The sequence below is a fragment of the Homo sapiens genome, chromosome 12 (assembly GCF_000001405.40).
Source record: "Homo sapiens chromosome 12, GRCh38.p14 Primary Assembly".
NCBI classification, from domain to species: domain Eukaryota; kingdom Metazoa; phylum Chordata; class Mammalia; order Primates; family Hominidae; genus Homo; species Homo sapiens.
In genome coordinates, this window is record NC_000012.12 from 32,494,688 (window position 1) to 32,520,573 (window position 25,886).

General features: G+C 39.5%; 1 protein-coding gene across 15 annotated transcripts in view; it reads left to right on the top strand.

Moving 5' to 3' along the window:
• FGD4 (FYVE, RhoGEF and PH domain containing 4) overlaps positions 1 to 25,886 on the top strand; it is a 246,493-nt gene that overhangs the window by 95,130 nt on the left and 125,477 nt on the right. For 7 of the 15 annotated variants that reach the window (NR_168884.1, NM_001304484.2, NM_001384127.1 and 4 more), the window contains exon 1: positions 7,476 to 7,651. The exons of 5 other annotated variants lie outside the window; for them this stretch is intronic. Coding sequence is in view for 2 of the 10 variants with exons in the window: in XM_047428292.1 (XP_047284248.1) it covers positions 7,551 to 7,651; positions 17,143 to 17,222 (181 nt within the window). In the remaining 8 variants the exon portion in view is untranslated. Of the gene's footprint in view, positions 1 to 7,355; positions 7,652 to 17,142; positions 17,223 to 25,886 lie in introns of those variants that run through there. 3 more of the 15 variants (XM_047428292.1, XM_047428291.1, NM_139241.3) reach the window with 3 other exon arrangements.

The following is a 25,886-nucleotide window of genomic DNA, read 5'->3' on the forward strand; positions in this document are numbered from 1 at the left end:
TGGTTGTGAGAAGGCCAGGGAGGAAAGGTCAAGAAAGAGGGCATGGTTGGCACCCAAGAGGGCCCAGGATGCAAGAACTGAACCCAACCTGTGGGTTTGGAGCTGAGATGTCACTGCTGGCCTTACTGGGAGCAGTGCCAGTTGAGTGCTTGGTCTGACAGATGTGGCTGAGGAGTGAATAAGAGGTGAGAAGTGACTAGACCTCCCACCCTTTTGAGAAGCATGAAAGAGCAAGAAAGGAATGAGCATAGACAGCTTGACAGTAATGTGAGTGGAGCCAAGAGGTTTTTTTGTAAGAGGCTTCTGTGTTCTTGTTTTTTCATGTCAGGAAGTCAATTGTTTGTCATTCTGTCTTCACAGAATTAACAGTTGCCCCCACCCCCATTTTTAAACATGTTTAATACTTCTTACAGCTGCATAGTTTCCAGATATTCAAAGAGGTTTCACCTGCATGATCTCATTGATCTTCCTGAGAGGATGGTACCAAATATTATGCCTGTTTATTTCTTAGAGGAAGGCCTCAAAGCTCAGAGATTGTGGCTTAGAAATCACCCTGCTAACAAGTTGTTTTGTCACATACTCTACCTAGCCCAGAGTTTGTGAACCTATATTCACAGCATTAACTAATCATGATTCGCCCCATATTTCACTGGTTATGCTTTGGTTATCTTAGAAAAGAACCCAGGGCATTTATGAGGTAAAACTTGCAGGGCAGATTGCTTTTCAGGGCTGGGCACGGTGGCTCACGCCTGTAATCCCAGCACTTTGGGAGGCTGAGGCGGGCAGATCACGAGGTCAGGAGATCGAGACCATCCTGGCTAACACAGCGAAACCCGTCTCTACTAAAAAATACAGAAAATTAGCCAGGCGTGGTGGCGGGCACCTGTAGTCCCAGCTACTTGGGAGGCTGAGGCAGGAGAATGTTGTGAGCCCGGGAGGCAGAGCTTGCAGTGAGCCGAGATCGCACCACTGCACTCCAGCCTGGGCCACAGAGAGAGACTCTGTTTCAAAAAAAAAAAAAAAAAGAAGCTTTTCAGAATCCCCTCCACTACCTCCTTCCATATCCTCCTGCACACACACATTGATCTCACCCGCCTTGCATATCACTGCTGCATATCTATTTGTGTGCGTGCATGTGTGCACACATGCTTCACCTACCGTGCATACACAGCCTTGCTGCACACAAAACCTCAAATTCAGTTACCTTCAAATGTCATAATTAGATACACCCCAGTCCTAGTCTCAAGGGACCCTTGCCCACAAACCTTGGCCACCCTCTCTTTTTAATACTTTATTCTTTCTGGGGTTTGGGCTTGGGGTAGAAAAGTAAAGTTAGGATTGATTTTAAAAGATCAGATGAGAGGTCATAAATAAATCCCTGGTATCAACAATAAACATTCAACTGATCATTACATTTTTGCTGAATTTGCTTTGTCTCTTCAAAAATGCAACCCTGTAGAACTTGAGTGAAACAGTTTTTGTTTAACTTTGACCTAAAGCTATAGTTGTTTGCATGCTTTGGTCCTTTAGGATATTTTTTGAGCAGCAAGGATTAACCATTCAGCATCGGGTTTTATCAGCACAAAACTTGAATTATCATAGTTTTTATTCTGGCCTGATCTCAGACCAAAAATACGAAGAGAAGGTTCATAATGTTGATAATTTATTAGCTTTTGCAGAATGTCTGTGTGATGTATCTTTGCTGTTTACCTGGTACTATACATCTATTTTATCTTGTTAGCTCCTCTCCCCAACCCCCTACAACAAGAGTTAAAAGTCTTTATTTCTTATACATATCAAAAACTCATCAAGAAAAAGGGGTAGCATATGCTTTTATTGTCTGTGGAGTTTAGAATGGAACTTTGCATATTATAGAAGTCTCATTTATAGAACATTGTTTATTATTAGCCCTTTTCCTATTTTACACTCCACACGTATTTTAGATTTGTTAATGTAATTAATACATAAACATAAATATACATATGTCCTACATATGTCCTTGTAGAGTCTTCACTTTCATATATTTCAGAAATTTTCTTAAGGAAAGAAGAATTAAAATATCTAGATTCCAATTATCTATGAATCACTTTTTGAAAAAAAATATGGATAAGAATTAAGAGTGTGGAAGGCAGGGCCTAGGTGCTTGTGTAATTTCCTCCCACCTTTGTTTTAGAATCGATATTAAGGATTTGGAAGGATAGGGAATATTACTGTAATGAAAACAGTAACAAACAATCTAATGATGTGAATAACTAAATCTCATTATTCTTATTTGACTAAGACACAATTATCTTTCAAATTTTAATTGAAAATATCCCTGGGGCATTGGTAGATCTGGGTGAGTTTTTTGATGGTTGGACTTGAATAGAAAAGGGCTAAAAATATAAGACCTCCTCACATAGACTTTCCTAGTCAATGTTGGTTGTTTTTTTGGCAGTGTATACTTGGGCAAGTCCTGGAACAACAAGTACTTCTCTGAAATGCTAACCACATGAGAGGAATGATGGGCCACTAAAAAAGTTTCCATCAAATTAGGCTTTAGATTCTTAACCTTAACCCCTTGCAAACTGGGCAGAAAAGTTCAATTTATTAATATTTCAATGCATTTTATCTTCCTTATAAAGTACTCTGTACCCTGCAAATACATTTTTGCTCTAAATCACTTTCATGAAACGAATTATAAAAACCCCATTAAATTAAAACAAAAAGTTTCATAGAATATTAACCAAAAATGCAAAATTATTGGTAATATATAGAAAATATCTAAGGAGATACCACCTCTTTATAGATACTGTATTTTGTGGTTTCAATGGTTAGCTCTGCTGTTTAGGCTTTTTGGGTTCACTGATATGTTTGATCCCCGATTAGGAGAGGTAATTTGAGTCTGTTTCATAGTCACAGGCACCGCTAACAATATCTGGTCAATTTATAATACAAACCATTTGTCAAGAAGGAGTTTCGGAAAGCACGGAAAGAGAACATGGAAATACAAGTAAAACCAGTAGCAGAGCTCCTGGCATTTTTACTAAAAGTACATCCTAAATTGTGTGCCGTTGTGCAGGTACAATTGCCATTTCAACTGGTACTTGAACAATACCTCCTGCTCGAGCCTTTCAGTCATGCCACACGTAAGGGTAGTACGCAGATGTATGTTATTTTAAATTTTAATATGCTGTTTCCTTCTGGAAAATAAATGTTTCTTGTCTTTGCTACTTCAGCCTTTTTTCTTCTTCTCGACTCAGTGAGACTCTCCTCTAACGTTTATTCTCATAATTTTAGAGCTGAAGAGACCTTTGGAGATGCTCTAAGCCAGCATCCTCCTTTTGTGACTGAAGAGCACAGGACCAGACAGAGTAAATGGCTTGCCTGTGTCATAGGGCTGGCTAAACAGGAACTAGAGTCTAGGTTTCTGAATTTATAATTAGGGAGTTGTCGTTGGACTTTGTAGAGGCTAAGGGCTTAAACACATAACTCCCAAAATATGTGCCTAGGCGCTTTGGGTATCACTGCCAACTCACAGGGGTGCTGTCTGCAGAGTATTTAAAAATTTCAAGGGAAAAATGGCAACATCTATCAAATACTATGCAAACTCCTACCTCTAGACAGTTCCCTTTTAAAAAATATTTGATTGCAGTATATTTCTATTGATAGAGGCATATTTTTGCAAAGTCGAGGGTTTGGTGGGTACTGTGATAACAAGCTGGTGAAAATGAAAGTGGGAGAGGAAATGAGGTTTGTGATATTTAGTAGGATCCTATGGTATGAGAGGTTGGCAGGGTACACCCACATCCCATTAGTAAGTAGTGGGAGTGATTTAAGAATAGAATAAAAATACTATTTTTTCTTGAAATAATTATTTGTTATATTCTCAAATGGTGCTAAATTGCTGGGTCAAAGGTAGTTATTGGTTTTTTGTTTGTTTGTTTGTTTGTTTGTTTGAGACAGAGTCTCTGTCGCCCAGGCTGGAGTGCAGTGATGCGATCTTGGCTTACTGCAACCACTGCCTCCTGGGTTCAAGCGATTCTCCCACTTCAGCCTCCCAAATACTTGGACCACAGGCGCACACCACCATGCCCAGCTAATTTTTGTATTTTTAGTAGAGACAGGGTTTCACCATGTTGGTCAGGCTGGTCTCGAACTCCTGACCTCGTGATCCGCCTGCCTTGGCCTCCCAAAGTGCTGGGATTACAGGCGTGAGCCACCACACCCAACAGTTATTAGTTTTTTTGTACCAAACCACTTAATCAATGGAACTCTAAGGAATTGCTCCTGCCCCGGGGCACTGTGCAGAAGTTACAGAGATGCTCAGATTTGAAAAGTTTGGGAACCTCTGACTGCCTGGGTAAAACCTCTTACAAAAGGAAAGAGAAAGGAGGAGTAACGGCAAATGGAATTAGGCATATTCAGCTGCGAAGGGAAATGGAACAACATTCCCAAGGTTATTCCATCTCTGCCTAGCTGGCACAATGGCTGCAACAGCAGATATTCAAGGCAAAGTTGCCGCCTGCGCAGTATTTGAGGAAGATAAATTATCAGGCTCCTGCTTCCAAAGCGGTTTTATCTTAAGAACCTTTATGGGGATTGTTGACTGTTGGTCACATGCCCTACCACTTAGGTTTCAGGCCCTATAATTAGATTCCGGGCAGTGTGGTTTGAGGGGATACTATAATGAAGACAATATCAGAACACTTGGAGGTGAACTTGGAGCTCCAGAGGACATTACTATTCCTTACTCACCTTTCATAGATCTGCCTTTATTTTTCTTGTCTGAGTCATTTTTTCCCATGGAGTCAATTCTCTAAAAACTGTGAGCCAATTCTTTTTAGTTTTTTTATTGTCTCACTTGTTTGTAGATCTTCCCAAGAACATGGTGGAGTGAACATTAAAAAATATGTATAAGAGGAGTAAATATATTTTTAGAAGATTATAAAGTTATAATTTGGAAACTGGAGAAAGAAAATAAGTCCAATATTTCTTCCTCACAGGTACTCTGAAAATTCTGAAGCCTAGGTAAGCCTGGCCTTTTGTTCCTGAGAATCTCTTCTCTGCCGGGCAAGGTGGCTCATGCCTGTAATCCCAACATTTTGGGAGGCTGAGGCAGGTGGATCACTTGAGCTCAGGAGTTCGAGACCACCTCTGCCAGCATGGCGAAACTCCGTCTGTACTAAAAATACAAAAAAATTAGCTGGGTGTGGTGGCACATGCCTGTAGTCCCAACTACTTGAGGGGCTGAGGCAGGAGGATTGCTTGAGCCTGAAAGGTTGAGGCTGCAGTGAGCCAAGATCGTGAGCATGGGTGACAAAGTGAGACCCTATCTCCAAGAAAAAAACAAAAAAATCTTGTATATCATTGCAAATGCATACTGTTTATTCGTAGTGGGTATTCAGTTTTGTATTCTGTTTTTCCTCCCACTTCTGGGAGGTGGTGTAGCGCAATGACTTAGATCCAAGCTTTGGTCTCAGACAAATGAGGTTCTCGTTCCAACGGTGAGACCAAGGGCAAAGAGCATAAGTTCTGAATCTCAGCTCTATACCTAAAAAATGAAGATAATAATACCTACTTCATAGGCCCTGTGAGGTTTATATGAAATATTTGTAAAGTGTTTATTATAGTGTCTAGCACATACTAGGGACCAGTAAACAGTACTTGTTAATAGAAACATTTCCCCTTTGCCACATAGTCTTTCTGACCTTATTTTATTTTATTTTTATTTTATTTTATTTTATTTTATTTTATTTTATTTTATTTTATTTTATTTTATTTTGAGACGAAGTCTCACTCTGTTACCCAGGCTGGAGTGCAGTGGCGCAATCTTGGCTCATTGCAACCTCCGCCTCCCAGGTTCAAGAGATTCTCCTGCCTCAGCCTCCCTAGTAGCTGGGACTACAGGCGCCCGCCACCATGCCCGGCTAATTTTTGTATTTTTAGTAGAGACGGGATTTCACCGTGTTAGCCAGGATGGTTTCGAGATCCTGACCTTGTGATCCACCTGCCTCAGCCTCCCAAAGTGCTGGGATTACAGGCGTGACCCACTGTGCCTGGCCATGACCATATTTTAATAACTGCATGATAGTGTGTCAGTTGTGTATACATTAATATTTGCATCACCATTCTTCTAATTCTGGATTCTTAGGTACTTCTAAATTTGCACTAGAATTTTAAAACAGTCTTTAGTCATTCATCAGATTTACTAAATTCACACTATGTTCAAGGACCTTGGCTTGCTGTTGACACAGGGTTCACAGTGGCACTGTCCCTGGTCTTGAGGTGCTCACAGTCTGAAGGAGAGATGTGTACAAATAACTGTGCCCTGTGGTAAACACCATCAGTGTCCAACTTATTGAGAAAGTGTAGAGGAGAGAACAAAAATGTCAGACTCTGCCTAGAGAGCTCAGGGAAGTCAGCCCAGGCTGAAATACAGTGATGCAGTCATGGCTTACTACAGCCTTGGCCTCCTGGGCCCAAGCAATCCTCCCACTTCAGCCTTCTGTGTAGCTGGGACTACAGGTGCGCACCACCACACCTGGCTAATTTTTAAAAAAATTTTCTGTGGAGATAGGGTCTCACTGTGTTGCTCAGGCTGGTGTCAATAATGGACATTTTGAGTGCCTATAGTTTATATTTTCTAGATTTATAGTTTACCTCTAATAGTTGGTTTTTATGTGGTATATTTGGTTTTCAGCCAATTTTATCTTCCAAGGACTTAACCTCTGATTCCTTCATGAGGACCAGGGTGTGGGCAACTGTTCCTGCAGAATCAGTATTTAACCTTCACATGGTGAAACAGATTAAACTCAGTACATAGTATAAAATTAAGATATTTTAATCCTGTAACTGGGTAAGACTCTAGATGAAAATTTTAAATCCAGCACCGCCTCTCCCCACAAAGTTCAATTAACACGGTAAAAATGAATGTATGTTTGCCCAGAAATTATTATTTTATAACACAATTGATTTTTGAAAACTTTATTTTCAAACTAACATTTTTTCCAAATTTGAGTATTATATTTGTTTTAAAAAATCCTTATAAAAGCAGTTTCAGTTCTGATGTGGATTGCAAATCATAAAACAACTTGCTGATGAAGCTTAGATTTCTAGAATGCTTTATCTTTAGTTTTCAAGTTAACTTTGAGGTTTTATTTTCTGTTTGTCAAGTCAAGCCTCTTGTGACCTTTCTCCCTGAATGAGCAGAGTTAGCTATCTGAAATGTCAGGAGTTTGTACCACCAAGGGTAAATTTGCTGGAAAGCTTTTAGTTGGGCTGCACTGGCTTGTTTAAATAGCCAAACACCTGCTAGGCAAGCCCTGCGCATGTGAGTGGCTATATATGTTCCTTCCTTTAGGATTTGCAAGGCTGGAGCACAAAGACAGCGATTGTTACCCAATAAGCAGTAGTCACACACTTCTACCAATCGCCTTAGGAGGGCTGGTTACCATGGAATCCACCATCTGTTCACTCCCCACCGGAATGTGATTATCCTTGCTGGGCTGGGAAGTGGGGAAAGCAGGGGAGCCTGTGCTGGGTGAGATTATCTGCAATGGACCGGGTTAATGGGAGGCTTGCTTTGGCTCGCTGGAAGAACAAATGAAGGGAGTTTTACTTCAACCATTTGTGACTTCTGGCCAAGAGGAATAAATTCAGCTTTTATAAGGTAAGTAACCCTAGTAATATGTATCCAGTTTGTAGTACGTTTGTGTGGGGGCATTATCTCCATGTGGTCCAAGGAAAGTGAGCTCTAAGCTCTTTTTAAAGAAACCTCCAGCGTCATACACTTCTCTTGTATTGATTTTATGCAGTTCAATAATGCCTATGCAATTACATGTTGATTTTGGAAAATGAAAAAAAATTTAATCTTTTAAACTGTTTTCTGCTTGTGAAATTGTTTTATGACTCCTGAAAGTGGCAAAAGGACAGTCATTTTTAATGGTTTTTCAGAATGAATTACACTGGTATTCTTTCTGAAATACGCCCATGGCCCCAAACGTGTTCAATGCCTGTCCTTATTATTTGAAAAAATAACTCGGGTCAGGGACGTTTGTAGGTTATGATTTAATTAATGATTATTCTGGCCCACATGACTGACCCACCATTACTAGCTGATGTTTTGAAATGTGATGTTTATGCAGTTTTATTTTGCAATGCTTTGGCACAAGTTTCAAGGGCCTGAGCATGTGGAAACAATGTGGCAGTGCTTTAAGGCATGCATGCAGGCACCGTGGTAAAGGAAGGGCAAGACAAGGAAGATCAGCTTCTATTTCAAGGGCTTCCTTTGTTTTTCTATTTCAACAGCCCCTTAAAATGTGTGTTGCATATTGTGAGCAGTAGAAGGAGATTTGGGTCCTAACAAATGGATGACTGACATTTTTCTGTGTGGCTAAGAGGTTGGTAGCTCAAACAAGGGACTTCTATGTCCTTTGTAAGGCAGCATTGTATCCCCTTCCCCAAAACTGTGCCCTAAAATATAAATGTGAAAAAACAAAAAGAGTGCTGTCTATAGTCTGGATACTTCTTTTGTGTAAGTTTTTTTTGTTTTTTTATCATTGAAACCATAGGGCCAGTGCTCTGTGAGTCTAACTGGGTCTGCCATTTTTACTTGATAGAGGAAAGGTTGCAAGGAAAGCCTTGGCTCATGCAGGTTCAGTCTTTCTGATTGTGCTGTGCTGCTGTCATCTTGGACATTTGTGCCAGTGGCTGCCCAGAGAGTTAGAAAAGGTTATTGCTAATAGGCCCTAATTGTTTCATTTTCTTTTTAAAATGATAATGTAAAATTAGATAACCTCATATTAGTCAAGGACTCATGTTCTTACTTCAAGAACAGGTTTTTAGGCCAGACAGTTGTGAGTTCTTGGTGTTAATTGTAGTTGACTTTAAAATCTTACCCTCTTTTGTGCTTACTGGTGTTTGTACATCATTATTATTACTTTTTAAAAGTTTTTTTCTTAAGGTACAAAATTAGTTTAGCTACATACTAGCTCTAAGAAGCATCTTTTAATAATAGTAGATATATGTCTGCCTGAAAATTTCCTTAGCATAATCTAAAAATTTTCAAGCCAATGTAATAGTATTGGGATAATTTTTTTCACCCATAAATGTCAGTCTTTCATAAGCAATATAAGGTTTGGGAGGAAAATAGGTAATTTGAAAGCCTCATGTATGATTATGTGTTCATGTTGCTTTAATTACCATTATCTTAGAATCCAGAAAAAGGCTGTGAGTGAATGGGTCTGAAGTGTGTGGCATCCGTGTACTTGGGATGTAGTTACCCAGAGCATTGGGGTAGGCTAGATAAATCCGTACACTTCTCAAGTTCCTAGTGTTGGTGAATTTACTTACTCTTTTCTTTTTGTTATTGAGTTAAAGTTTTAAGATTGTGTTTTTAATTGGATGTTAATGTTAGACCCAGCATTTTGAGTATTGGCAGGCATGTATATATTTTCAAGTGTAAGCGTGTTGCATTGACCAAATTTCCAGAGTAATAAGTAATAAAACCACAGGTTTTTCAAAATGTTTTTTAAAAAGCTTTGTCCAATCCACCACTAACAAGAAACTTAGTGGTTCTTGAGGGTAACCCTTCACAGAAATAGGTGAAGAGTGGGCAGCAGGGACAGTCCCTGGAGCATCTGTGATCCCAACTAGGGTACCTACGGGACAGGAGTGCATGGTCATAAGACTGTCCTGCACATGAAGGACCTGGTGAGATGTCCACTTCCATGCACAACACTGTCAGCAGTGAGACCTGCCACCATGCACACAGCTTCTTATAGTAGGGAATTTAGGATTTAGAATGTACTGAATTCGCGTGTCCACTATGAAGCAATGCTTTCTGATTCTCACCATCCTTACTTGTGGGGGTGAAGAGAGGTGCTAGATGTCTGAGGTGTCTGTGGTTTCTTCCAACTTTTCCAACTGTCTGAGGGCTTGATGCTTTTCAATTCTTCAATACAACTTAAGACCTTACTGACAAGCTTGTATTTATGCTTGTAAATATGTAAAACTAACCTTATTTGGTTATTTCATGTAAAAGGATTATGTAGATGACAATATGAAACTTTGAACAAAGTGCTTAGAGTGATTCAAATCCATGAACATTGAGTAGGCAGCAAATCAACCAGCATTAGTTCAGCATACGCAGTCAAGTCTTTCTGCTCCTTCCTTTGACACATTATGCCGGAATGTTGCCTGACATAACAAATTCAAACATGTAGACTCTAGACCTAATTAATGGCGATTAAATTTCTTAGTTTTTCATACTATGTTTTGTGGACACATTCATTCTGCCTAGCCTAAATTGAGTCCTTCAGTTTCTTTGCTTTTGAGGTACAGATTTATAATCCATTTTTTGAAGTTAAGTATTTTTGGCCATTGTGGTCCATTTGGCCCTTGAGCTGTCTGAGATGATGGAATACTAGGGATCTGAAGTGGAACAGCACCTGCAGATGCTGTCATTGCTAATGCTGCTATGTTCACATGTCCTTGGGGTTGAATCTGTTCGCATTTTTCACAATTTTGAGAAATAGATGTACTGAAAATTGCCCTCTTGCTTTCTCCCACAATGCCATATTACCATGGGTGCAAGAAATGCTTGGAATGAGTTAATTGTATGCATCAGCACAATTTTGCATTGCTGTGTTAGATATACATTTACAGGATGAGGAGCCTGGAAAGCATGCGTGTGAACGATGTGAACTTACACAAAAGCTATAGCTCAAAGCTGGTTTCATTTGGCAGGCTTTTTCTCTATATGTGTGCCAATTGATTTGAGTATCGGCAGCTGTTTCTTCTGAGTTGTCATCGTCTTCTGTTTTTATAACTGCTCTTGAGTTTCTGTAAAATAAAAAGGCAAACTTTTCATAAATTGGCAATGAGTGGGTCTATGCAGGTTGATGTAGATTGTTGGAACCATTTCTGTATGGACTTAACCTTTTCTTGCTCAGTTGCTTGCACTTTAACCCCAGAAATAGCTTGATGGAGTTACATGAGGGCGCCTAGCATACCTTATTCTTAGAAAAGTTCCACGTTTTACAAATAACCACGGCTCTGTACGGCTAATTGTTCTTTTGTAACAAACCTGTTGAATTTACTGACTTCCTGTGTAAGTAATAGTTCCTTCCTTCCTTGTCTGCCTAAATCCTGTGTTTTTTTTATTTTTACCAGTTTACTCGTCCTGAACTCAGATTAATGAAATTGTGAGACGTAGTATGTTCGCATAAGGCAAACAGACTGAATCTCTTGTATATTTTTAGATTCCTGTTATACATCCCTAGATGTTTATTTTCACATAATTTAAGGTCCCAATCTAAACAGGATTGTCTGCTTTTTAATGCCCTCATTTTAAAGAAGAACCTGAGGCCCATAAAGATTAAGCAGCTTTTCCAAGGTCAGGAAACCTGTGAGTTACAGAAACAGCTAATGTTGGGCATTGCATGTTGAATGCAAACACGTAGGGCAAGATCAGCTTAACATCCTACACTGTTGTCTTTAAGAGGAGCACAACATTGGGGTGTTACCCTAAAATCCCACAGATGAAATTTTCAGTATGCCTAGGTGGAATACACCTTTGAAAGATGATTTTCTCCATAATCAAAGTCATAAGAAACAGTTTGTCATTATAAATACCAAGCTTTTAAAAAACATTAACTGCCAAGCCAATTGGATGCATATGTTTCTCAGCTTGCAGGCATTCTCCCTTCTAGCCCTATCTATATGTGAAGTAAAATGATCAGAGTGCTGCCTAGTCACTGTGGATCCCAAAGCAGGTGGGGGAGGGAGGAGCCTGAGGAACGACTATGGTCCACTCTAGGACATATCTGTCACCTGGGCAGCATCTAGCATTCCTGTTGTGGGTTAGTACAACTTTCCTGTGGGCCTTTCCACAGGTATACGACCCGCACTTGCATACTTAATCTCCCTTTCTTCTGCTCCCTGCACCAACCCACAGGCACCTCCTTGCCCAGGACCACCCCACCCCCTAAGGAGACATTCACTGTCTTCATTGTTAACGTTGCATTCATTCATCAGATATTTCTTGCACATTTACTCTATGCCATTCCTATTGCGATGTGGAGGATATGGCATTGAGCACAATGGGCAAGATGTTAGTGAAATTTACCTAGTAGTGGGAAGAGACAGAATACAAAAGTAAAGAGATAAGTAAACAACATAATTTCAAATAGTGGCAGGTATGTGATGACAAAATGGGCTATGTTAAAGAGGGAGTTGAGGGTGGCAAACTTTATTTTTATTTATTTTTTATTATTATACTTTAAGTTTTAGGGCACATGTGCACAACGTGCAGGTTAGTTACATATGTATACATGTGTCATGCTGGTGTGCTGCACCCATTAACTCGTCATTTAGCATTAGGTATATCTCCTAAAGCTATCCCTCCCCCCTCCCCCCACCCCACAACAGTCCCCAGAGTGTGATGTTCCCCTTCCTGTGTCCATGTGTTCTCATTGTTCAATTCCCATCTATGAGTGAGAACATGCGGTGTTTGGTTTTTTGTCCTTGCGATAGTTTACTGAGAATGATGATTTCCAATTTCATCCATGTCCCTACAAAGGACATGAACTTGTCATTTTTTATGGCTGCATAGTATTCCATGGTGTATATGTGCCACATTTTCTTAATCCAGTCTATCATTGTTGGACATTTGGGTTGGCAAACTTTAGATTGGGTAACCAGCAGATGTTTATCTAGGGCAGTCCCATATAAGCTGAGACACAAATGATAAGGAGCCAGCCACGTGTAATCTGGTGCAGTGAAAGTGTGTTGCTGTTATCCTCAATTTATGGAGGTAGAAATAGAGGAAAGCCAATCGTCAGTATCGTATAAAAATCATGTTAAGTGAGTGCTACAAAGCCACATTGCATGTTATCGTTACTTCTCTTTCAGGACTTAATCCCGAATGTGTGTTCTTTTTCAAAGTCACAGTTTATTGGGAGAGCATGGGAACGCATTTACCAGTGGTTAAGAGCAGCAGTTTTAAAGTTGAGCAGACCTGGGGCTAGCCTAGTCTCTCATACTAGCTACCTGGATGTCTCTAGGCCAGTCACTTAACTTCCTTAAACCTCATCTTCCCCATTTGTTAGAACTTGTGGGGTTATCCTGGGTATTAAGGAAGTTGTGTTCAAAAATTCAAGTTGTGCTGACAATGATGGGGATTAATGTGATGTTCTCTTAGGGGCATCAGTAATAATCCCTGAATGTTGAAATATTTGCTACTCTTAGTAGTGAAAGCTTGGTAGGACTATTAGCCCTCAGATTCATGTATTCAACAAATCCTTTCTTGGTGTTCACTCTGCCCTTGCTAGATTCTGGGTGAAGAGCAGTACCAGGACATGCTCTGCACTCACACCGTGCTCAGCTAAGAGTATCATTTGCATTCAGTGTGATTGACATAGCAGAGGAGGGATGAAGGGTACAGAGGGGAGGGGTTCCTCGGCTGTGCACGTGAGGTGCAGCTGGGAATTCTGATCTGAGGATGCTAAAGCAAGGAGATATGATGGGCCAGGAAGTGCAGTCTTTGGGCTAAGGCAGGGCAGGATATGCAAGTGGAGATATTGCCTTGCACAGAAGTTTTTACTGTATCCTGTAAAGAATGAGGAATGTTTGAATAGTTTTAAAACATTTGGGAATAGATCTTCAGTTTTATAGTCTGAAAAGATAACTGGCAGTTTAAATGATGGAAATATGGGAGGGAACAATCTCCAAGGCAGCTGGAATTCTCTTCTTTATCTTTTTCATCCACAGCAAGTAGACTTTTTCTTTTATTATCACCACCACAATATAGTTGTCATATCTTATTCTTGATATTTAGATTCTAAAGCCAGCACAGAAAGCAAAACTTGGATGAAGTCAAAAAAGCTCTTGAAAAGTCCCTTAGGAAGGCATAGCTTTGTAGATCAACTCTCTTCTTGTTAAGTCCAACACTGCATGTGTGTTTTTTTAGCGTTAGAAGAGATTGCTGCTTCTTGAGTTGAGCATGAGATATAATAATTACTTTGCTTGCATTTAGAGGTCATGCTATATGAAATAGAGTCCTAGAATTCAGCTCAGTGTGCTGAGACCTCACACTTTGAGAGTCACCAAGTGACTCATGTGAACCAAGAGGAATTGCAGGAGCAGCAGGTTCATGATTTCTGTCTGTCTTATTCCCACTACAGAGCACATGAGCATTGGGTCAGATTGCCTGAACAACTTAAACTATTGCACCTGTGTTTGGGTGCGTGCGCACACACTATCACACACAGCTGTTTTCTGTATCTGCAAAGTGTATATAGTTCACTTTGAAGCAAGTTAAGATGCAACTACTCTAATTGCAATATATACCAACTTTTGGTGTTTTCTATATGTCAGAGACTGCAAAGTATATTCATCATCCATCTAATCTTTAACTAATATTTGAGATAAGAGATTTATCCGCATTGAAAAAATACAAATGTTAGGAGGTATAGTACATAGGATTTCCAAGTTCACCAACATTAAATGATGAACTAGGAAAAATACCTCGATCTGTTCTGGCTTCAATTCTATGTTCTTAACTTTTATTCTCTTTTTTTTTTTTTTTTTTGAGTTAGCCATTCCATTAATCTAGGCAAAATAATAATATAGGAAACGTAACTACCACAGTAGCAGCGAGGGTACAGAAATAAGACTCTAAAGAGATGAAAAGAGAATTAATGAGAAATGTCTTTAAGAAGTCCTCAGGTGGTTAGTCATTGTCAAAGAACATAAATGGTTCAAAAAGGAAAAAGACACCATTGACTAATAAATGAAAAAAATTCTGTACAACTAGCAATCACAGAAATACACAAAATATTCATGCTTATATCAGCAGAAATTTTCCAAATGCTTATATTTTGGATTGGCACCCTTGTATACTTCAGATGACACTCTAAACTGATGGAGTTTTTTGGAAAACAATTTGGTAAATAGGTTTTATCTTAATCAGAGAACACATGGTTGCAAGAAATAGAATCCCCCTGTAATTTAAGAGAAAAGAGGATGTATAGAAACAACACAAAGGTGTCTCATGGAACCCAGGGGCAATAAATTCATCCAGGCCTTTCAAGGAGCTGGACCCTGGACAGCTACATCTCCATTCCTCTAGGTGTGTGACCTGTCAGCCCCACTACTCTGCCTGTGTGCCTCACGCTGTTTGCACTGGCCTCTTAGGATCCCTCTGTGAATGGCAGAAAACGTGGCCACCTCTAATCTCAGATTATACCCTTTCCAGTGCCCAGTAGAAACACATAGTTCTAACTACAGATGTCCTGGAGAGACTCCAATGGGCTAAGCTTTGGTCATTGATTACCTTTGCTAGTCAGCTGTGGCCATGGAACACAGAAGTCACTTGACCTGTAATAAGCAAATAGAGTACAACTACTACATTATCAATAGCTTTAAAAATGTTTTTCACACCCATAATTCCAATTTTAGAAATCTACCACTAGTAAGTTGCTGAGTGATTCAGTGAATGATTTATCACATCATATCAGGTGTTTTAGTGGGAATGGGAAGAAGTGGGAAGCTAGTAACGTTCAACAATAGGAAAATAGCTAAATAAATTACTGTGCATTCATGGGATTGTAAGTTATACAACCATTAAAACATCTTCACAAAATGTGGGAAAATGCTCACAATGAAATGTTAAATGTATATAATGTTGTATATGCTGTATTATGCTTTTTATATAACAATAAAAATACTAGAGGGAATTACTAGAAATTCTAGTAATAACACTAGTTATTTCTAGATTTTAGGATCACTTTTGTTTTGTTCTTTACAAGTTTTTTGAAGATTTTAAATAATGAACAATGACCTTATAGGAATTTTACTGTAATAAAAAAGTGAACTAATATGAAATGCTCAAAAAAGACATTATAATCTAGTAGGGACGATAAACCTGTTGTAAGTAATAGTAACCAATGCAGGCTAGTATGTTATTTGTGTTATAGATTATATAGTAAGAACTTAAGGATGAATTTCCTAGTAATTAGACTGTTTTACACATGGAATGTCCTGTTCAAGAACTATTTTCCTATCACTGGTGGTATTTAAATATAAATTAGACAGATACTTGTAAGAGATATTGTAGACAAGATTCATCTATCAGGTACGTGGAACTAAATGACTTCAAAAGTATTCAACCCCGATGTTCTGTTGGGAATATAGAATTTACTTTGGAAAGAGTCTTTTTAAAGTGCTTAAGTGTTAGGGGAAGATACTGTAATGATACAAGCTGAGTACCTTTTATGAAAGAGGTGTGAAATTATATAGAAGTCATCAGAGTCTGTGGGATTAAGCAGGAGGATTGAGCCAGATCTTGAAGAGGGTGATAGGCAGGGACTAGATTATAAGAGGGAAGTTATTTTAAGGCTTAGGTAATGATTGGTGCTAAGGCAGAGTTAGGATTCAGCCAGTTATGGATGAGGGATAGTAACCAAATTGCTTGCCAAATGGCAGAGGCATTTATTTTCCTTGTTCACTCTCTAGTGAGATGAGCATGAAGCGGTGCAAAACTTAGATTGAACAAGAGAGCAAAGGGAAGCAACCATGGTAAATCTGCTTGCTTGTGGGCTTAATTATATTCTGGGAAGAAACACTTTAGGGCGATCGGTGTGATATATATATATTTTTTGAGACAGAGTCTCGCTCTGTTGCCCAGGCTGGAGTGCAGTGGCGCGATCTCGGCTCACTACAAGCTCCGCCTCCCAGGTTCAAGCAATTCTCCAGAGTAGCTTGGGACTACAGGTGCCCACCACCACGCCCAGCTAATTTTTTATATTTTTTTTAGTAGAGACGGGGTTTCACCGTGTTAGCCAGGATGGTCTTGATCTCCTGACTTCGTGATCCGCCCGCCTCGGCCTCCCAAAGTACTGGGATTACAGTTGTGAGCCACCGCGCCCGGCCTGATTGGTGTGATTTTTATGTTTTGGTGGTTATGTTAAATGATGGCAGTAATAGTACATTAACAGCTGTGCTATAAAAATCAACCTACTTATTTAACTCACACATTAAAATTCTTTGAAACTACACAGAACTATAAAGGAACAAGGACTTTTAGTCTCACTGTGTGTTGTGTGGTCATCTTTTTTTTAAGTAAAGCAATATTAAAGGTATATTTTTTCTGTTCATTAGAAAAAGACAGTCTACAGCCATACCACCCGGAATGTGCTCAATCTCATCTAATCTCAGAAAAAGACAAATTTCCACGAAGAGTAAGCTGATTTTAGAATTGAAACTCAGTTTAGCATTTTGTGTGAAGCTGATTCTTCCCCCTATTTAAAAAAATGGAATAGATGTAAAATTATTACTATAAAATGATTAATATTGCTTTTCTTTGAATTATTCTTTTTTATGATTGTGTATATCGAAGTCTTTTTTGTGATGCTTCTCAACTTCTAAACAAATTCTGGTGAGTGATCCTAAACTGAAAGTTGTGGCTTGAGGGCTCGAAGAAGTAGAGTGCTTGTGGCCGGGTGCAGTGGCTCTCACCTGTAATCCCAGCACTTTCGGAGGCTGAGGCTGGCGGATCATCTGAGGTTAGGAGTTTGAGACCAGCCTGGCCAACATAGTGAAACTCCCTCTCTACTAAAAATTAAAAAATTAGCTGGGCATGGTGGCACGAGCCTGTAATCCCAGCTACTTGGGAGACTGAGGCAGGAGAATCGCTTGAACCTGGGAGATGGAGGTTGCGGGGAGCTGATATCCTGTCATTGCACCCCAGCCTGGGGGACAGAGCAAGACTCTGTCTCAAAAAAAAAAAAAAGTAGAGTGCTTGTTCATGACTCTGAGCTCATTTAGTCTCAGCCTTCAGTTTCTGGTGCTACATCACTTGGGACTCACACGCCAAGCCCCTATCAGGTTTTGTCACTGCCACCTTGTCACAGAAAATTGTCAGGGTAGTGGTTTCATCTCTTGGAAAGACCCAGGTGGGTGAGCAGCCAGTAAATCCAATAGCTTGCCTGCCTGAAATGCAGAGTTGATTGGAGACAGGCTGATCCAGGGCCCACCTCTTTCTCTCCTAGGGAGCATATATGTTTTAACAGTAGGAAAAATTGAGTTATTTTGGCCACATGGAAGTGAAGAGCCTGTATTCTCAACCATCCAGAGCTATTTCTCTTAATTACTCAGAGGCGTAATACCTTTCAGAAAGGCTTTTTATTGTTTGTAAACCTTGGCAGAAAGAGGGAAGGGCATGGTATCTGCATAAAATTTCTAGTGGAGAATAGATGAAATGGAGTCTCCTCACATCAAAGTTAGGTAGATTTATATACTTATCCAGGCAACCTGGACATTCATTTAAACATTTAAGGGTTTATGTCCAAAGCTTTGCTGGGCCAATAAAGATACAGTCTTGCTTTCAGTAAGCTCACTTTAGAAACTACAATGTATGATGCAAGGTCATAATACTGTACAAAGGTACATGCAAAGTGCTGTGATTGCGCAGAGAGAAGGGAGGACTCATGGCCAGGCCAGGCAATCAGAAATACGTCACCTTGGAGATTTTAGGAGGAGGTAAGATCTACATGGTGAAGGGCATTTCATATCAAGGGAACAGCACACATAAAAGCTTGAAAACTGTAAAATAATCATAGTTGTTTAGAATATAAGAAATTGGTTTAACTAGAGTGTTGGGATTAGGTGTAGGAGTGGAATGGTTGGAATCTGTAAGATAAATGGCACCAGATTATGTTAGTCTAAACTGTAAGTCAGGTGTGGGACATGATCCAGTGAGCCGTGGAGGGAGCTCTCTGAAATTTTTAAGCTGCCAGGCAACATGGTTCTTTATACATTTTGGGAAGATGACTCTGATGGAACTGCGGAGGAGGGGCTAAGGTTGCAAGGTGCAGGAGCTTTAGCATTTTGATGAGGAGCAGATGGTACAGGAGAAAGATGATGAGTCCTCTGAATTAAGACTGGCACAAGGATGTACAAGAGAGAAGGAATTGAGAAATTGTAGGAGTAAAAGTGCCAGGACTTAGTGATTAATTGGATGTGTAGATGGGGTAAAGGAGTGGAAAGTGTCAGGAACAGCTCTGAAGTTTCCAGCTTGGATAGTTGGCTAGATGATGCATCATTGGCTAATATAAGGAATACTGTGAGGGAAGCAGACTTGGATCCTATGTTTGCCTCAGGAACTGCAGTAAATACCTCATCACCGGTTTATAATAACTGGTTTAAATGTATGTATGAAATTTGTATTCTTCACAATTTTGCAAATAAATACCATAGAAATCCAATATATTCATAGTCTGATAAACAGTATTAGTTTCCCTTTTATGAAAAAGTAAAGTGTAACAATAAAAAGAAAATCAAATATTTCAAAGCAAACTTCCAGTTTCTCTTCATACATCACACTTCAAATTCTATACCTCTCTACCATTTAAAATTAATTGTTGCCTATCAACAGGTGACTGTACCCTTGCTGTACGGTGAAAGCAGAGAATAAAACAGGGATCTTCTGAGCTCACAATATAACTTAGAAAAACTAATGGATATATATTCATGTTATCCAGTCAATCAGTTTGTTTAGTGATAGACATTTCAGTTATACAATACAGAAGCAGTATGAATGTTGAGGCAAGAAATGGCCATAAGATGTTGGTTTTCTTTTTTTGAAATGTAAGAAGGAAGTATTTCAGTGTTAATTGGGCTTCTCAACTATATACCACTTTCCCAATAAACCTTTTCCCTCAGCCACGTTAGTCTTCTCTGAGCTCTTGAAGCCCTCATGATTTTTATCTATCATTAACGTATTTTCAGTTGGCTCTTGTCTTGTCTCTCTCCCCAAATAGACTGTGTTCCTGAGGCCAGGAAGCTTTTTGTTTTTGTTTTGAGACAGGGTCTCACTCTGTCTCCCAGGCTGGAGTGCGGTGGCGTGATTGTGGCTCACTGCAGCCTCGAACTTCTGGGCTTAAGCAATCCTCCTGCCTCAGCCTCCTGTGTAGCTGGGACTACAAGTGTACACCATCATGCCTAGCTAATTTTTTTTTTAACAGAAAGGATGTATTTTATTAAAGGATATATTTTACGTATTTATAAAAATTCAATGTAAGATAAAGTTGACATCTCAAATCAATGGCCCGAATTGCAGATTGTTTACTAAACATTGTTGGGAAAATGTATTATCCATTTGTTTAAAAGGGATGCATACCTTAACCAAAAATAAATTTCATATTGCTAAATGCCTAGCTAATTTTTTGTAGATATGGGGTTTTCACCATGTTGCCCAGGCTGGTCTTGATATCCTGGACTCAAGCTATCTGCCTGCCTCAGCCTCCCAAAGTGTTGAGATTAAAGGCTTGAGTCACCACTCCCAGCCCCAGGAACTATTTTACTCACCTTATATCCCCAGCTTTTGGCTCAGCACAGAACCCATACTAACATTTAGATTGAACAGAACTAAGGCTAAAGGAAAACTTTAAAGGAACTTATTAAAATTACCAATCCCATTTCAACAATGGGAAGATAAGGAGTGGCACAACACCATGGGATTAGAACAGGGACTATACCACCTTGCTCCAGCTCCACTGTCCCTGCTTCTGGAAAGGGCCCCACTCCAATAAGGAGAATTCCACAGCTCCTGCTCAAATCTTGTGGTTCTTGCTCCATTCTTGTCCAGATTTCTCTGATTAGATTGGGTGCCATTGAAGGTCATGGGTTTTTGTCCTGGTCATTGTTGTGCTCCCAGATGATTGCACAAAGCCCAGCAGATAGAATGTGCTAGATAAAGCACCTAATGGAAGCAATGAGGAAAAGAATGAGTCTTAAGCAGACTTCCTAAGGTGTTTGAGAATCACTAAGGAATTTGAAATGTATCATAGACCGTAGGGCTGAGTTACAATCAACAATAAATAATCTTTTTAAATGAAACCAAAATCTTATTTTAAAATACATATTTGTTTTGGCTTGAAAATCTGCTCTCCTGCCTGCCCCTCCTGTTCTTTTCAGATATCTGCACTGACATTGAGCATTGCACATGCTGTGCCACTTCAAACAACTTCATTTCCTTGTTTCCTCTTGAATTAATTATGAACTGCCTATACCTCCTTTACATAAGTGATAAAAGAGACATGGGCAGATGGAAACTGTATTTTTGCAGATATATGTAGGTACTTGTGTCTTTTGAATATAAAAATGATCAGGGATGGATATGGGCCAAAATCCCACAGAGGAAGATAGGATAAATTGAAAACTATGGTTTTGAATGCAATACACCTTTTAAAAGGGCAGGCAAATAAGCTTTCAACAAACGTGACAATCGTATTGAAGAAATTGAACCCAGTCTTCAACCAGTAACTTGATTTTAATAAATAACAAACTGTTAATCCCAAATTAGTGCATGATGTAATAACTAAAATTGCCAAAAGCAAAACCATTCTCAGAAACCAGGAGAAAAATAACAACAACAATTGGGGGGTGGGGGATTTCAGGTGATTAGAATTAGGCAGCAAACTGGAACTAATTTCCCTTTTGCTTTTTAGACAGGATCTCACTGTTGTCCAGGCTGGAGTGGAGTGGCACAGTCAGTTTACTGCAGCCTTCACCTGCTCAGACTCCTGAGCATCTGAGGCAGGAGGATTACTCCAGGTGTGCGCCACCATGCCTGGCTAATTTTTTAATTTTTTTTATAGAGAGGGAGTTCCACTCTGTTGCCCAGGCTGGTCTCAAACTCCCAGGCCCAAGCGATTCTCTTATCTCAGCCTCCCAGAGTGCTGGGATTACAGGCATGAGCCACCATGCCTGGCCTAACTTCCCTTTTTAAGTTGTGGTTAGTATCATCAGTATTTCCTATTTACTTTGAGTATCCATGGACTTTTAGACAGCATCTTGATTAATAGAAATAATGGTAATGGTGTCACTGACAAGTTATCTGTTGTAAATATATATGCTTACATTGATGCATATGTAAACTGTAAAATGTGCAAATGATGAAGCAGTCTGTTGGCACTTTTGGCATAAACTCTCACATTTAACATAGAATAAAGTTTTATTTTAACAGAATAAATATCTCAGGCATGGTGGCTTATGTGGTAAAATCCCAGGGTAGTTATTAGGTGAGTTGTTTGTAAATGATAAGAATAAAAATTATTTTCCAGTAAAATGCCACTGATCTATGAAGGTACCAAAAGTTTAATTTATTATTTAAATGAGGAAAAGAATGGGAAACTTGGCACTTTGATTTAAGATGGTAATTTTATCTAATGAATACATATCTAAGACATAATATTAGGAATATCACTCCGTAATACTGTAGTAGATCTGGAAATGATGATAATTTAAATCGGGCAATTTCAGGTCTAGCATAGTTAGTGGGTACCCAAAAAGTTCCTAGATGCTTAGTGAAGCTTCTTTATTAACACATTCAAATCAGCAAGTATTTGTATGCCTTCTTTGTGCTTTGAGCTGAGCTTGTTTTGGGTGCCAGAGTATAATTATAAAAATAGTTTTGTTAAACTGTTAGGTTAATTCTAATTGTTCTCTGTTTTAAATGGCATTACATTCATCTTTATGCATATAGCTCTTTGATTAGGATAGCTTGCCCAGGCGTCACAGGTGGATGATACGCAGTTTTCTGGCATGCAACAGGTATTACCATGTTGCCTTCTCAATTGTCATTTCAATTTACCTGCTACTGTGAGTGCTTGAGGTAATGATGTCTTCAGCACTGGATTTTATAATTTAAAGCCATTTTTTTCTGGTCAAAGTCTAAAAAAAAATTGTGTCTTTATTATATGGAGATTAATTTTTTACACATATATCCTTATTAAATTATCATTACTTTTACATTAGAATTTAATGTCATCCTTAGTTTAATGAAATTTTCAGTATCATAGTTGATGTCCCAGAATCAAACTACAGGATTAGGTAGTCTTCGTATCTAGACTGATGTGTAGGAGATATGATTAGTCTTAGGGCCAGGCACAGCTGCTCACTCCTGTAATCCTAGAACTTTGAGAGGCCAAGGCAGGAGAATTGCTTGAGCCCAGGAGTTTGAGACCAGTCTGGGCAACAAGGTGAAACCCTGTCTCTACAAAAAAATTAGCTTGGCATGGTGGCATGTGCCTGTAGTCCCAGCTATTTGGGAGGCTAAGGTGGGAGGATTGCTTGAGCCTGAAAGGTTGAGGCTGCAGTGAGCCGAGACCATGCTGCTGCACTCCATCCTGGGTGACAGAGTGAGACCCTGTCTCAAAAAAAAAAAGTTTTGGAAGAATTCAACTTGAAATCATTTTGGAGATTCCCTCCCACCCAACCCCCAATATCGTTAGTATTTTTTTGCATGTAACATTTACTGTTTATTCTGCCTACTTTCTGCCATCATCATAGTTTTAACATTGGTGCTATAGCATATTTATGTCAGCTTTATGACTTACTAAGTTTTAGGACTAACTTCAGGATTGACGTGTGTAGACAACATGTACAAGATTCTTGTGAAAGACTATCTGTCTAGGAACATGACTACTGCCTACATTCTAGGAGATGCCTTCTATGGAGCAGTGTTCTATGAAGGGTGGTGTGCCCTACAGGGTGCAAAAGATGAACACTTGGAGAGCAGGAAGCAGGTACTAGACCTTGGAGTTCAAGACCAGCCTGACCAACACGGAGAAACCCCGTCTCTACTAAAAATACAAAATTAGCCGATACTGGTGGCACATGCCGGTAATCACAGCTACTTGGGAGGCTGAGGCAGGACAATCGCTTGAACCCGGTAGTCGGAGGTTGTGGTGAGCCAACATAGCGCCATTTCACTCCAGTCTGGGCAACAAGAGTGAAACTCCATCTCAAAAAACAACAACAAAAAACCAGCCCTGGCATTCCTAATATTTTTGTCCTTTTTCTAGCATTTTTTTCCATCTATGTGTCAGATACATCTATCTATATGGTATATGTATGGAATTCTGAGGAGAGAACAGAGACTGGACAATGCAAGCTCACTTGTCTGTTTTTGTGTCCATGGCATTTTAAGCATGGCTGGTTAAGTGGACTGAGATGATGTTATTTTAGATAGTGGAATTCTGGCAATACTTGGTAATAAGTGACCACAAACATCATAAGCTATTTAATGGCACGATATTTAAACAAGTTGTGAGACTAAAGATACTACATCTTTTTCTTTACAAAAGAAAAAAAAAACAAGGGCCAGGCACGGCAGCTCACGCCTGTAATCCCAGCACATTGGGAGGCCGAGGCAGGCAGATCACCTGATGTTGGGAGGTCGACACCAGCCTGACCAACATGGAGAAACTCTGTCTCTACTAAAAATACAAAAATTAGCCGGGTGTGGTGGCACATGCCCGTAATCCCAGCTACTCGGGAGGCTGAGGCAGGAGAATCGCTTGAACCAGGGAGGCAGAGGTTGCAGTGAGCCCAAGATCATGCCATTGCATTCCAGCCTGGGCAACAAAAGCAAAACTCCGTCTCAGGAAAAAAAAAAAAAAAAAAAAAAAGCCTCCCCACCGCCGCCCCCACCATGTGCCCATTTGCTAACCTTTCATGTGAAGACAAGTGTCTGTCAGTAAATATTTAGCAGGTTCTTACTTAGCAGATATATTTGGAAAACACAGTCTGTCCCTTTGAGGTACAGGTGACATTTGAATGAGTTAGAAAGTAACTGCAATCAGGAGCAGCAGAAAAGTACACTATAGACAGAGCATTTTTGAAATGATTGTTTGGAAATGTTCCATTATTGTGTAATTTTATCACTACAATGGATGTATCTTTTATTTTTAAAATCTTATTTTTTAAAAAACTTATTTCTGCAAGTACACTCAAACTTACATACAGATCTTTTTAACTGTCTTTTAAAATCTTCGGCCAGGTGCACTGGCTCACACATGTAACTCCCAGCACTTTGGGAGGCTGAGTCAGGAGGATCACTTGAGGCCAGGAGTTTGAGACCAGCCTGGGCAACACAGCAAGACCTTGCCTCTGCTTAAAAATAAAATAAAATAAAAAAATAAAGCTGGGCACGGTGGCTCACTCTTGTAATCCGAGCACTTTGGGAGGCCAAGGCAGGCAGATCACTTGAGGTCAGGAGTTCGAGACCAGCCTAGCCAAGATGGTGAAACCCCGTTTCTACTAAAAAAGAAAAAAATACAAAAAGTAGCTGGGCGTGGTGGTGTGCACTTGTAGTCCCATCTACTTGGGAGGCTGAAGCAGGAGAATCACTTGAACCCAGGAGGCAGAGGCTACAGTGAGCTGAGATCATGCCACTGCACTCCAGTCTGGGTGACAGAGCAAGACTCCATCTCAAAATAAAATAAAATAAAAAATCTTTGAATAGTTTTAGTATGTTTTAGAGTAAGTTTTGAAAAATAATGTAATATCTTCTGAGATATTACTATAGATGGAAATTTGCCAGAATAATTTTGAGAAAAACCTTTGTATAACTGGTAGATGGTATTTAAAAATAGGTATTGTGACTTAGTAAGTGCATCCAGTGATAGACTTCTTCCCTTTAGGACGATGAATCTCTCTTCATGGCAGTCATTGAAACTAAGTATGGAAGTAAACTGAGATAGATTTACTCTTCCAAATTGCTGTATTGTGAAATATTTTACAATTTCTTTTTAAATAAACGAATACAAGAGCTTTAAAGAGATTTTAAATGTTTTTGAGTTTTAGCATTTACCTTAAAAGATTTTTTAAAAACAAGCAGATTCAGTCACATTGTTCTCTTAACAATAGTATTTTTACCTCTACCTTGCCCTATTTTAAGTTCTATTGTGGGTTTTTTTGTTTTTTGTTTTTTTTTTTTAGAGATGGAGTCTCGCTCTGTCGCCCAGGCTGGAGTGCAGTGGTGCAATCTTGGCTCACTGCAAGCTCTGCTTCCCGGTTTCACGCCATTCTCCTCCCTCAGCCTCCTGAGTAGCTGGGAT